At 48.1% G+C, this 13,565-nt stretch overlaps 1 protein-coding gene and 1 pseudogene across 1 annotated transcript in view; both read left to right on the top strand.

Annotated features, from left to right (window-relative positions):
- The window catches only part of ENPP7P7 (ectonucleotide pyrophosphatase/phosphodiesterase 7 pseudogene 7), a 60,830-nt pseudogene extending 49,685 nt beyond the window's left edge, over nucleotides 1-11,145 (top strand).
- The window catches only part of LOC112268076 (translation initiation factor IF-2-like), a 154,152-nt gene extending 142,474 nt beyond the window's left edge, over nucleotides 1-11,678 (top strand). The window contains exon 4 of the mRNA XM_047427952.1: nucleotides 10,934-11,678. Within this exon, the coding sequence (XP_047283908.1) occupies nucleotides 10,934-11,149 (216 nt within the window). The 3' untranslated portion in view covers nucleotides 11,150-11,678. The remainder of the gene's footprint in view (nucleotides 1-10,933) is intronic.
- The last annotated feature ends 1,887 nt before the right edge of the window (nucleotides 11,679-13,565 follow it).

Raw genomic sequence — 13,565 nt, 5'->3', positions numbered from 1 at the left:
GATTGAGTGCATGTAATTTATTCAGGACTCTCAGGAGATAGGAGTAAGGAAAACAAGATATGGCAGGGAAGGAGCTAAGTGAGATGTGGTCTCAGCTGGAGACTGGCTCCAGTCTGATCTCACAGGGAGCTCCAGAGGATGAACTGCACCACCATGTTATCCCAGCCTGAGATCTTTTGTTCTCCTGTGTCAGCCGGTCCCTGGCCAAGGGCTGCAGACTCTCTTGGGGACCCAGCAGACTGGAGGAGAAGGAGCATGGTCTGTGGTCTACTCTTTTGTGCATACCCACCCACCTCTTCCCCAGCTGACACTGCTGGAGGAGGAGAGGGAGAGATGTCATCTCCTCTTATGGCAACCTGTGGGATAGCAATGGCCCTTTTCCTGTTGGGTGTAATCTGCTGCCATCTCTTGCTGTCTGCAGCCTGACACAGAAGGGTGAAGGTCACCAGGTTGCACTGACAGTGGTCTTTGTCTCAAGCAGCAACCCTAGGACCGCGGCTCCCTTGCAAGATTCAGCCATATCTCATGACTCTCTGCAACACACCCCATGCCTCTGATGGAAGGAACACAATGCCCCATGCTGCACCCATTTCTGCCAGGCTGGGGTCCCTGATCTCAATTTTCCTCTGCAGTCCCCAACTCTGGGTTCTGCAGACACATTTCACATCCATCCTTAGTACCTCCCAGGAGGCAGAAGCCGGAGGAAATAATCCTTGCCCCAATGCACCTGACCGTGCCACTTCACTGTATGCTCTTTCTCCCTCTCCAGGAAAAATCAAGCTTGTTGAATACGTACCAATGTGCCCACATGCATTTAGTCCCCACAACCACTTCATGGGGCAACATTATCATCCCCAAGTTACAGATGAGGAAACTGAGGACAGCATTTATATAACATGCATCTAAGTGGTGGAGAAAGGATCTAACCAGGCAGTGCGGCACCAGAGCACACTTTTTTGTTCTTTAGGGAGATGGGGTCTCTCTCTGTCCCTCAAACTGGAGTGCAGTGGCCTGATCATAGCTCACTGCAGCCTTGAACTCCCGGGCTCCAGCAATCTTCCTGCCTCAGCCTCCCGAGTAGCTGAGACTACAGGCATTCACCACCAACGCAGCTAATTTTTAAAAAGCATTTTTCTAGAGATAGGGTCTGATCCCAAACTCCTGACTTCAAGCGATCTTCCTGCCTCAGCCTCCCAAAGTGCTGGGATTACAGTCATAAGCCTCCGCGCCCAGCCCAGAGCACACTTTTTTTTTTTTTTATACGGAGTCTCACTCTGTCACCCAGGCTGGAGTTCGGTGGCAAGATCTCGGCCCAGAGCACACTTTTAACCACCATATCATTATGCCTCTGGGTAGGTCAGTCAAGCTCTGTAGCTGATCAGATGTCTGTAGAGAGAAGGAGACATCGGTCTCCCCTTCTTCCAAACACCCCCGAATTTTACAAGTGATTTTCTCAGATCCCTCAGCATCAGGAATGGGGATGAGCAGGGCAGCCTGTCCCCTTCCCAACAGCCCAGCAGATATCCGAAGATTACATCTCATTGGCTCTGACTAGGACATGAGCCCAAAGCTGAACCAGTTGCTGTAGCCATGGCATGCAGCATCCTCTGTCCTCTGGCCAGGCCAGAGCCACATCCCACCTCTGGATCCTCGAGTTGAGTGAATACATCTTGAACCAGGCACGGACTGAAGCTCAAGGGGGAGTCAGAGTAATGTGACCCAGCCCAGCATGTAGTGGGTGCTGAGCAGGCAAGCATTCATCACCCACTGCACACACCAGGGAAGGCTTGTGGTGGCTTAGTCCCACCTGGGGGCAAAGGAAAGAGTGCCTGCTCCGTGCCAAAATGTGATGCCCCACACTGTATCTTAAAGCTAGCTGGCTTTGTAATCCCAGCTACTTGGGAGGCTGAGGCAGGAGAATCACTTGAATCCAGGAGGCAGAGGTTGCAGTGAGCCAAGATCACGCCATTGCACTCCAGCCTGGGTGACAAGAAAGAAATTCTCTCTCAAAAAAAAAAAAAAAAAAAGCTAGTCGACTTAATCCTCGCAAAGATGCCATCTACTTTTTGGCATTCTACAGGTAGAAACACTGAGACACTGGAAAATTTAAAAACTCACAACCAGCCGGGTGCAGTGTCTCTTGCGTGTAATCCCAGCAGTTTGAGAGGCTGAGGCAGGAGAATCACTTAAACCCAGGAGTTCAGGACAAGCCTGGGCAAATTAGCGAGACCTCATCTCTACAAAGACTAAAAAAAAAAAAAAAAAAAAAAAAATTAGGGCTAGGCGCGGTGGCTCACACATGTAATCCCAGCACTTTGGGAGGTCAAGGCAGGTGGATCACTTCAGCCCAGGGGTTCGAAACCAGCCTGGCCATCACGACAAAACTCTATCTCAATTAAAAATGCAAAACTTAGCTGAGCATAGTGGCACGTGTCTATAATCCCAGCTACTTGGGAGGCTGAGGCAAAAGAATTGCTTGAACCCAGGAGTCAGAAGTTGCAGTGAGCTGAGATCGTGCCACTGCACTCCAGCCTAGGTGAGAGAGTGACACCGTGTCTCAAAAAAATATATATATATAGGTATGGTGGTACATGCCTGTGGCCCCAGCTACTCAAGAGGCTGAGGTAGGAGGATCGCTTAAGCCCAGGAGTTCAAGGGTGCAATGAGCTATGATTGTACCACTGCACCACTATATATACACATATATATATGTATATGTATATAGGTATGTCTATATATACACATATATATACATGTATATGTATGTATATATATGTGTATATATATAAAAAACACACATGCACAGATTCACCACCAACAACTCAGAAATTACCGTCTCCCTCTATTCTAAGGAATTATTTTTCATTTTGCCATCTCTGAAGTTGTAATACACCTTACAATCACTGGAATGTCACAGTCTCGTTGGCGGCATTTTTCTGCTTAGTAGCCCATAAAATAATAGTACATCTTGTAACTAACAGTGTTGTAGATGCTATGAGATCCTGGGGAATCCCAGAATCTAACTCCACCCTGTCTGACTCCAAAGACCACATATTTTCTATGTCTTTGGACTGGGGCACAGATGTAGACAACTCGAGCTTTGCTGATTGTGAGAAAGGTATGAGAAATGGCCCTGATGGAATTTTCTTATTGTACGTGAAGGGGAAGAAAGCAGCATCATCCCACTATTCCAGGGGAGGTGCTAAATACGAGGGTGAGGCTGTCAAGCGGTCCCTGGTGGAGTCCTACACTCACCAAAATAACAACGAGACAGAGCAGAGGGAGAACATCGATACCGTCATGAACTGCTTCACCAAGGAAGACTTTGACTTTGTGACTCTGTACTACAGACAGCCAGATAACGTAGGACATCGATTCAAGCCAGAGGCAGAGAATAGGAAGTTGATGATTCAGCAACTCGACAGGACCATCTGGTATCTGGTGGGAGCCACTGAGAAGCACAGCCTGCAGAGCACCTCAGGTCATCATCACATGAGACCATGGGATGATGACCGTGAAGAAGAGACCCAATGTCAACAAGATCCCTTGTCCAACTACATCAAGTTCAGGGACTGGGTCAAGTTTGATATTGTGGGCTATGGTGGCTTTGGGCTGCCCCTACCCAAACTGGGGCAAGAAGAAGCCCTTTACCAGGCACTGAAGAATGCGCACCCTCACCTCCACATCTACAAGAAGGAGGAGTTTCCAGAACACTTCCATCTCGCTAAACATGACCGGGTTCTGCCAATCGTGATGTATGCCAACTCTAGTTACAGTATCAATGGGATAAGTTCATTCTAAAATGAATAAAGTCACCTTGGATCTAGGAGACAACCATTAGGGAAGGGTGGTTCTGCAAAAATCAAACATGAGTGCACAGCCAGGCACAGTGGCTCACGCCTATAATCCCAGCACTTTGGGAGGCTGAGGCAGGTATATCACCTGAGGTCAGGAGTTTGAGACCAGCCTGGCCAACATGGTGAAACCCCATCTGTACTAAAAATACAAAACTTAGCCGGGCGTGGTGGCGTGCATCTGTAGTTCCAGCTACTCTGGAGGCTGAGGCAGGAGAATAGCTTGAACCTGGGAGGCAGAGGTTGCAGTGAGCCAAGATCATGCTACTGCACTCCAGTCTGGGCAACAGAGTGAGACCCTGTCTCAAAAAAATATAACATAATATAATAAAACAAAATAAAATAAGTGCACACACTACGAGTTGTAGCCCACAGGGTCCTAAATGTTCCCCACCCCCCGCCCAACCAATGCTGCCCCAAATTACCATTATACAAGATTAATGACCAATTCAACTGGACAAGGCTGATTTAAAAATAAAAATAAGGCTGGCCATGGTGGTTCACACCTGTAATCTCAGTGCTTTGGGAGGCCAAGACAGGAGGACTGCTTAAGGCCAGGAGTTCAAGACCAGCCCGGGCAACATAGGGAGACCCCATCTCTACAAAAAACAAACAAATAAATAAATAGCCAGACATGGCAATGCATGCCTGCAGTCCCAGCTACTCAGGAGGCTGAGGTGGCAGGATTTCTTGAGCCCAGGAGGTCAAGGCTGCAGTAAGCTGTGATTGCACCACTGCACTCCAGCTTGAGCAACAGAGCAAGACCCAGTCTCTAAAAAATAAATAAACAATAAAAATAAACAGCAACTTCATTATTCAAAATTGTGCATAGCGCTTCACTAAACATTGAATAGCCGTTCTTTCATTTTGCCTTCCCAACAACCCTATAAAATAGATGCTCTTAGTTCCAACATTTTAAAGAAGAAATCAAAACCTAGAGAAGTGACTTGAGATTAAAAATGTAAGCTTGGGCTGGGTGCAGCGGCTCACACCTGTAATCCCAGCACTTTAGAAGGCTAAGGTAGATAGATTGCTTGAGCCCAGGAGTTTGAGACCAGCCTAGGCAACACAGTGAAACACCATCTCTACAAAAAATGCAAAAAACTGTAGCTGGGCGTAATGGCACGTGCCTGTGGTCCCAGCAACTCAGGAGGCTGAGGTGGGAGAATTGCTTGAGCCCGGGGGTGTTGAGGCTGCAGTGAGCCATGATCACGCCACTGTGAGATAGGAGGCAGGACTTGACTCCACAGGCAGGGCTTGGACAGCAGACCAAATTGAGGACTAGCTAAAACAGGGCTGGGGCAGAAGCAGCTTTCCATCAGACATGCCCACCAGTGTGCCATGTGAGTTTACTATTGCCATGGCAACACCCAGGAGTTCCTGCCCCTTTCCATGACAATGACCCAATGACTCAAAAGTTACTACCAATTTTCTAGAAATTCCTGCATAGACTGCCCTTTAATCTGCATGCAATTAAAAGTGGGTATAAATGTGATTGCAAGCTCTCTACCGCTACTCTCTGCCTCCAGGGTAGCCCTGCCCTACAGGAGCAGTCACAGGGCTGTAACGCTGCCTCTTCAATAAAGCTGTCTTCTTCTATACCTCCAGCTTGCCCTTGAATTCTTTCCTGAGCAAAGGCAAGAACCCTCATGTGCTATTGAGAGGTGACAGCGTTCTGGCAGCCCTGGAGCTCACTCTTGGTGCCTCCTCTGCCTGGGCTCCCAGTTTGGCAGCACTTGAGGAGCCCTTCAGCCCACCACTGTACTGTGGGAGCCCCTTCCTGGGATGGCCGAGGCTGGAGGCATCTCCCTCAGCTTGCGGGGAGGTGTAGAGGGAGAGGCGCAGGAGGGAACAGGGGCTGGGCACCGCACTTGCGGGCCAGCGCGAGTGCCGGGTGGGCATGGGCTCGGCAGGCCCCGCACTCGGAGCGGCCAGCCAGCCCCGCCGGCCCTGGGCAGTGAGGGGCTTAGCACCTGGGCCAGCAGCTGCTGTGCTGGATTTCTCACCGGGCCTTAGCTGCCTCTCCGCAGGGCAGGGCTTGGGACTTGCAGCCCACCATGCCTGAGCCTCCCCGCTACCGGCCGCGGGATCCTGCATGGCCCGAGCCTCCCCAGTGAGCACCACCCCCTGCTCCACAGCGCCCAGTCCCATCAACCACCCAAGGGCTGAGCAGTGCCGGCGCTGGACGCGGGACTGGCAGGTAGCTCCACCTGTGGCCCCAGTGCAGGATCCACTTGGTGAAGCCAGCTGGGCTCCTGAGTCTGGTGGGGACTTGAAGAACCTTTATGTCTAGCTGAGGGATTGTAAATACACCAATCGGCACTCTGTATCTAGCTCAAGGTTTGTAAACACACCAATCAGCACCCTGTGTCTAGCTCAGGGTTTGTGAATGCACCAATGGACACTCTCTATCTAGCTAACCTAGTAGGGACTTGGAGAACTTTTGTGTCTATCTCAGGGATTGTAAATGCACCAATCAGCACCCTGTCAAAACGGACTAATCAGCTCTCTGTAAAACAGACCAATCAGCTCTCTGTAAAATGGACCAATCAGCAGGATGTGGGTGGGGCCAGATAAGAGAATAAAAGCAAGTTGCCCCAGCCAGCAGTGGTAACCCGCTGGGGTCCCTTTCCACACTGTGGAAGCTTTGTTCTTTTGCTCTTTGCAATAAATCTTGCTGCTGCTGACTCTTTGGGTCCACACTGCCTTTATGAGCTGTAACACTCACCTTGAAGGTCTGCAGCTTCACTCCTGAAGCCAGTGAGACTATGAACCCACTGGGAGGAACAAACAACTCCAGACACGCAGCCTTAAGAGCTGTGACGCTCACCGCGAGGGTCCGTGGCTTCATTCTTGAAGTCAGTGAGACCAAGAACCCACCAGTTCTGGATACACTATGCTCCACTTGGGGGCTCCCCTGCCCTGCCCTGCATCAACTGCGCTCTGGCCTGGGTGGCAGAGAGAGAAACCCTATCTTAAGAAAAAGAAAGAAATGTAAGGTTAAGTGCTGCCCCCAAGCCTGCGTGGCTGATCATTATACAGAGTACACAAAGATCACCAAAAAATTCACCACAAAGGCCTCCCGCCACTAGTTCTCATTTGCCCATATCAAAAAATATGCAAGCCTGTTCATACAAAGACACACACAGATGCTCGTAGCAAAATTATTCATAATTGTCAAAAGGTGGCAACAACACAAATGCCTATCAACAACAGATGAATGGGCAAACCAGTAGAGTCTACCCGTGTGATGGAACATTAATCAGCCAAAATGTGGAATGACGGGCTGATTCATGCTACAACCTGGATACACTTTGAAACCATTAGGCTAAGTGAAAGAAGCCAGACAAATAGTAGATGATTCTATTATATATATATATATACACACACACACACACACACACACACACACACACACACATATATATGCCCAGAATATGAAAATCCAAAGAAACAAAGTAGATTAATGGTTGCCAGGAGCCAGGGGTGTGGATAGTCAGGGGGAAATAAGGGGTGACTGCTAATGGCTACAGGGTCTCTTCTGGGGTAATTAAAATTTCTAAAACTGATGGTGGTGATGGCTGCACAACTCTGTGAATATATTAAAAACCACTGAATTATACACTTTATTTATTTATTTAGAGACAGGGTCTGGCTCTGTTGCCGAGGATGGAGGGCAGTGGTGCAGTCTCAACTCACTGCACCCTCCACCTCCCGGGCTCAAACCATCCTCCCACTTCAGCCTCCTGAGTAGCTGGGACTACAGACACACCCACCATGCCCAGCTAATTTTTTGTAATTTTGGTTGAGACAGGGTTTTGCCATGTTGCTCGGGCTCATCTCAAACTCTTGGGTTCAAGCGATCCTCCCACCTCAGCCTCCCAAAGTGCTGGGATTACAAGTGTGAGCCACCATGCCCAGCCAAATTGTACACTTCAAATGGGTAACTTGTATGGTATGTGAATTATCTTTCAGTAAGGCTGTTATTAAAAAGCAGCTTTAAGGGCCAGGCATAAGGGCCATGCCTGTAATCCCAGCACTTTGAGAGGCCAAAGCAGGAGGATCACTTGAGCCCAGGATTTCAAGACCAGCCTAGACAATATGGCAAAACCTGGTCTCTACAAAAAATTTAAAAATTAGGCTTGGCATGGTGGCTCACGCCTGTAATCCCAGCACTTTGGGAGGCCGAGGTAGGTGGATCACTTGAGGTCAGGAGTTCAAGACCAGCCTGGCCAACATGGTGAAACCCTGTCGCTACTAAAAATATTTTTTAAAAATTAGCCAGGCATGGTGGTGGGTGCCGAGGCTGAGGCAGGAGAGTCGCTTGAACCTGAGAGGTGGAGGTTGCAGTGAGCCGAGATTACCCCTCTGCACTCCAACCTGCTGGGCGACAGAGCGAAACTCCATTTCAAAAAAAAAAAAAAATTAAAAATTAGCCAGCAGTGGTGGCTCGTGTTTGTAGTCCCAGCTACTCAGGAGGCTAAAGTGGGAGGATTGCTTGAGCCCAGGTGGTTGAGGCTGCAGTGAGCCAAGATTGTATCACTGCACTCTGGCGTCAGCAACAGAACAAGACCCTGTTTCACAATTTTAAAAACAATTAAAAGACAAGCCTAAAGAAAACACAAAAACCAATGCTAACTGTGAGACATAAATGAGGTGGTCTATTTTTTGTTAACTACCAACTAACAATTCATGCCAGAAACAAAGTTGAAATGATGCTATAGCCGGGCACCATGGCTCATGCCAGTAATCCCAACACTTTGGGAGGCTGAGGGGGGTGGATCACCTGAGGTCAGGAGTTTGAGACCAGCCCGGTCAACATGGTGAAACGCCGTCTCTACTAAAAATACAAAAATTAGCCAGGCGTGGTAGCGGGTGCCTATAATCCCAGCTACTCAGGAGGCTGAGGCAGGAGAATCGCTTGAACCCCGGGGGGACGGAGGTTGCAGTGAGCCAAGATCGTACCATTGCACTCCAGCCTGGGCGACAGAGCAAAACTCCATCTCAAAAAATAAATAAATAATTACATAAATGATGCTATAAACCTCATGTGAGGGAAGACTGCCCCAGGTAGAGCTTGAAGAACCCTTGCTGTGAATAGGAGCCAAATGTGATAATTATGTTTGCAACTTGCTTCATGTTAGCTTGTTGCAATTCCAGGGTGTAACAGGTATGAGAAAACTCTTGGGGTTACTGTTTAGTGTTGGTGGAAATATTCACATTAAAATACAACAGTTTATCACCTTAGGTATATTTTATCCCTCAAGTGGCCCGGAACACTGTGATTACTGCACACCAATCGCGCGCCCATAGCTAAGGCCTTGCCAGGGAGAAATTCCACAGTCACCTGGCCTATTTGTAAACCTGGTTTATGATGTTTTGTAACAGGATATCTTGACAGTAGCATGAGGACATTTAACGAGACAAGAACATTCCCCACTGACCAACCAGATAGTTTGAGGGAACAGGATGCTGTGCTCAGTTTAATCTTCTGCTGAACCGACCATTAGGCAGAAAAATCCTTTGGGTCAATGCCTCTCACTGAATCCACTTCTCATCATGTCCACCTGCCTGCTTTGCAGTGCAGAGTAAAGTGGGCCTTCCTTGACTCTCTTCAGGGACCAAAGTGCTTGAGGCCATCATGAGGACATTCATTCTTTTTTTTTTTTTTTTTTTTGAGAGAGTCTCGCTCTGTCTCCCAGGCTGGAATGCAGTGGTGTGATCTCAGCTCCCCACCGCAACCTCTGCCTCCCAGGTTTAAGTGATTCTCCTGCCTCAGCCTCCTGAGTAGTTGGGATTACAGGCATGCATCACCAGGCCCAGCTAATTTTTCTATTTTCTGTAGAGACAGGGTTTCACCATGTTGGCCATGCTGGTGTTGAACTCGTGACTTCATGTGATCCACCTGCCTCGGCCTCCCAAAGCGCTGGTATTACAGGTGTGAGCCAACGTGCCTGGCCGAGGGCTTTCATTCTTGATGGACTGCTCCATAGCCTCAGAGACAGTTGGACTGGTTTCTTCAACCAGAGCGGAGCAGACAGGCAATTTCTGTATCCACCAGGCCAAATATTAGACCAACTCTTCAATGTACAGAGAACATCACATTTCTTATATGCTAGAATATCTGTTGGTCTAAAATATAAATAAATAGTATTGCAGCCAGCCACAGTGGCTCATGCCTATAATTTCAGAGCTTTGTGGGGTTGAGGCAGGAGGTTCACTTGAGGTCAAGTGTTTGAGACCAGCCTGGGCAACATAGCAAAACCGCCCACCCCTCACCACCACCTGCCATCTCTACAAAAATTAAAATAATTAGCTTGGCATGGTAGTGTGGGCCTGTTGTCCCAATTACTTGGGAAGCTGATGTGGATGGATTGCTTGAGCCCAGGAATTTGAGGCTGCAGTGGGCTGTGACTGCATCACTGTACTCCAGCTAGACCTTGTCTCAAAAAAAAAAAAAAAAGTGTTGCAATTGACATTACTTTATCATTTGAAAAGAGGGACAGACAAGAAAGGTATTTGGCATTTACCAAGCAATTACCCAGAATCCTCATCCCATCCTACCCCCACCCTTCCCCTAAAAATGTATGTATGTGTATTTATACCATAAAAAATACATCTATTTGGCTCTGGAACCAGATTGCTTGGGTTCCGTTACCTGATCTAGCATTTGCTCCTGTTGACTCAGTGCAGACAATCTCTGTAACTCAGTTTCCCCAGCTGTAAAATGGGGAATGGCGCCTTTACTGGGCTGCCATGAGGGTAAAGGAGGGAACGTATATTTATGAAGCATTCAGGACAATTCATGATACATAGTAAGCTCTATATATTTGAGCTTATTATTACTGTCAGTACGATTATCATCATCTCGCTGTTTCCAATGGGTACGCTTTCTACATTCTCTTTCTTAAAGACCTTTAAATCCTTGGTATTCTCTCCACCACCACAGAGAGCAGTGTCCTTGTAGTTTAAATTCTCAAAGACTTCATGGATCCAACAAGCATGACATTAACTAACGGACAGTTTTCTTTCAGCGGATTGGAATCTAAAATGGCTTTTTTATTTTTATTATTTTTCAGAGAATTATAATGTGTTTCAACAAAGGCAGCCATGGCTTTGATAATGTCCTCATGGATATGAAGACCATATTCAGAGATTTCGGGCCAGATTTCAAGAGGAATGGCCTGGCCGAGACTTTTAACAGCATCCACATCTACCCCTTCGTGTGTAAGCTCCTGGGAGTCACCCCCAAACCCACAACGGCTCCCTGGCAGTCACCCAGGAAATGCTCGTGAACTCTTATGACCAGCAGCCAGGTGAGACACAAAAGCAGCTGCCAGAAAACTGCCAGCAGAGTCTGCTCTGTCCTGAGATAGAAAAGAATCAAAAAGGGGTCTCATGGTGGGGAGGAGGGAATTCAAGCAGAACACTCCTGTTTCCCAGCAGCTTCGGAGCCCCAGGAACATGATGCCAACAGCTCCAAACAGATAGCACGGGAGGTAGGGAATCCCTCGACCTGCTGGTAACATTTGACATAGTGCCTTTTAGGCAAAGGGAAGGTGCTCTATAGAGAAAGTCGGGCTGTAATCCTTCCGGTCCTAAGGAAATCACTGTGTACACTCTGCCCCCAAGATGCCCCTTCCAGATACGGAAATCAGCCCTGCTTCAATAGCACAAAAAACTCTTCATAGGGGAGGAGCAAAACCCTGTTCACTCGATGCTGAAAAAAGGAGACGGGAGAGTCTGAAACGAGACTGCAAATTCTCAAGACTTCAAACCCCTTCGGTCTGGGTAATACAAAGGAAGAATAAAATCATCTCAGAATTTGCTGTTGCCTTCTTTTGTGGGTTGTTTACAAACACTGGCTATCTTTCCTTTCGCCAGGAGAGACTTGGATATTGTCCAGTGATCTAACGAGCGTTTAAAGCAATTACATGCAAAAAGGAGTAATGGGCTGGGCACAGTGGCTCATACTTGGGATTTTGGGAGGACGAGGTAGGAGGATCACTTGGGGCCAGGAACTTGAGACCAGCCTGGGCAACATACTGAGACCCTGTCTCCACAATAAATTAGCTGGATGTAGTGTCACATGCCTGTAGTCCCAGCTACTGGGGAGGCTGAGGCGGGAGGATCGCTGGAACCCAAGAGTTGGAGGCTGCAGTGAGCTGTGATTGTACTATGGCACCCTGATTCCTGCCTTAAAAAAAAAGAAAAGAGGGGAGGGCAGGGGTGATATACATCCTTTCTCTTCTTGTAAGTCACTGCCCATGATCTCCTTGTGAACATACAGAAAGCAGTCCCTTTTGTAGAAAACTAATTAAATGAATGACCAATTCGCCAAATAATGGAGGATTTTTCTTCTTTTCAAGTTTTGGAGTTTTGCTACAACTATTTTGTAGCCCCTCCCCTATCCCATATCCCACTGGGAGCCTGGGATAAGCTGCGTCTGACTGTCAGTTACTGATAAGCAGGACATCCCACAAACAGATTTTCAGCGAATTGGCTTTCAGCAAATTGATCCTTTGGCAAAGTGGTCATTAGGCAAATGGGTCATTTGGCGAAGAGGTCATTTAGTAAATTGGCTTTCAACGACTTGCCCTCTGAGATTTCTCTAGAGTGAGTGTTTTCTTGGGTTCAATGTGCACTTCATTTCCATAATGAATACTCACTGGCGGCTAGATGGGAAACTTCCCGGGGAACCAGGAGCTGCCAGAACAGCCTCTTAATAATCAGGCAATTAAAAACCCTCTGGTTTCTTAACAGGAGGGAGGTACACAGGGCATCTGCTCTGCAAGGCACAGTGATCAGGCTCAGCATTGTCACAGGAGCTCTTGCGGTTCTGTTTGTTGCTTGTGTGACATACACAGCCATTCGTTGGAAAAAGGACTGAGTGGTCTTTGGGTCTCCCGTAGGTGATCATCATATGTCGTGATAACCCATGACAACTCCTTGCCACATGCCACGGGAGGTCCAGCACCCGAAGAACCCAGCAGCCAGGGCCGGCTTCATGGGCTTGCAACCTGGACAGTCCCACAGGGACACAGAAGAGTCCCCACTGTGGTTTAATAATCTGCCATCACCATCTTGGAATTCTTTATTTTTTAACAAGGGTGGCCAGGGATAGTGGCTCATACCTGTAATCCTAACACTTTGGGAGGCCAAGGCAGGCAGATGGCTTGAGCCCAAGGAGTTTGAAACCAGCCTGGGCCACATAGCAAGACCCCATCTCTACAGAAAATACAAAAATTAGCCAAGCATGTAGTCCCAGCTACTTGGAGGCTGAGATGGGAAAATTACCTGAGCCCCGGGAGGTCAAGGCTGCAGGAGCTGAGATTGTACCACTACACTCCAGCCAGGATGACACAGCGGGATCTTGTCTAAAAAAATAACCACAAGACCGGGCACGGTGGCTCATGCCTGTAATCCCAGCACTTTGGGAGGCTGAGGCAGGCGGATCACTTGAGATCAGGATTTTGAGACCAGCCCGGCCAACATGGTGAAACCCCATCTCTACTAAAAATATAAAAATTAGCTGGACAAGGTGGCGCATGCCTGTAATCCCAGCTACTCAGGAAGCTGAGGCAGGAGAATAGCTTGAACCTGGGAGGAGGAGGTTGCAGAGAGCCCAGGTCGCGCCATTGTACTCCGGCCTGGGGCACAAGAGTGAAACTCCATCTCCAAAAAAAAAAAAAAAAAACCACAACAACAACG

This window comes from Homo sapiens, chromosome 11 (assembly GCF_000001405.40).
Source record: "Homo sapiens chromosome 11, GRCh38.p14 Primary Assembly".
In the NCBI taxonomy this organism is placed as follows: Eukaryota; Metazoa; Chordata; class Mammalia; order Primates; family Hominidae; genus Homo; species Homo sapiens.
Note: the sequence above shows the minus strand (reverse complement) of the source record. Positions and strands in the feature narration are given on the sequence as shown.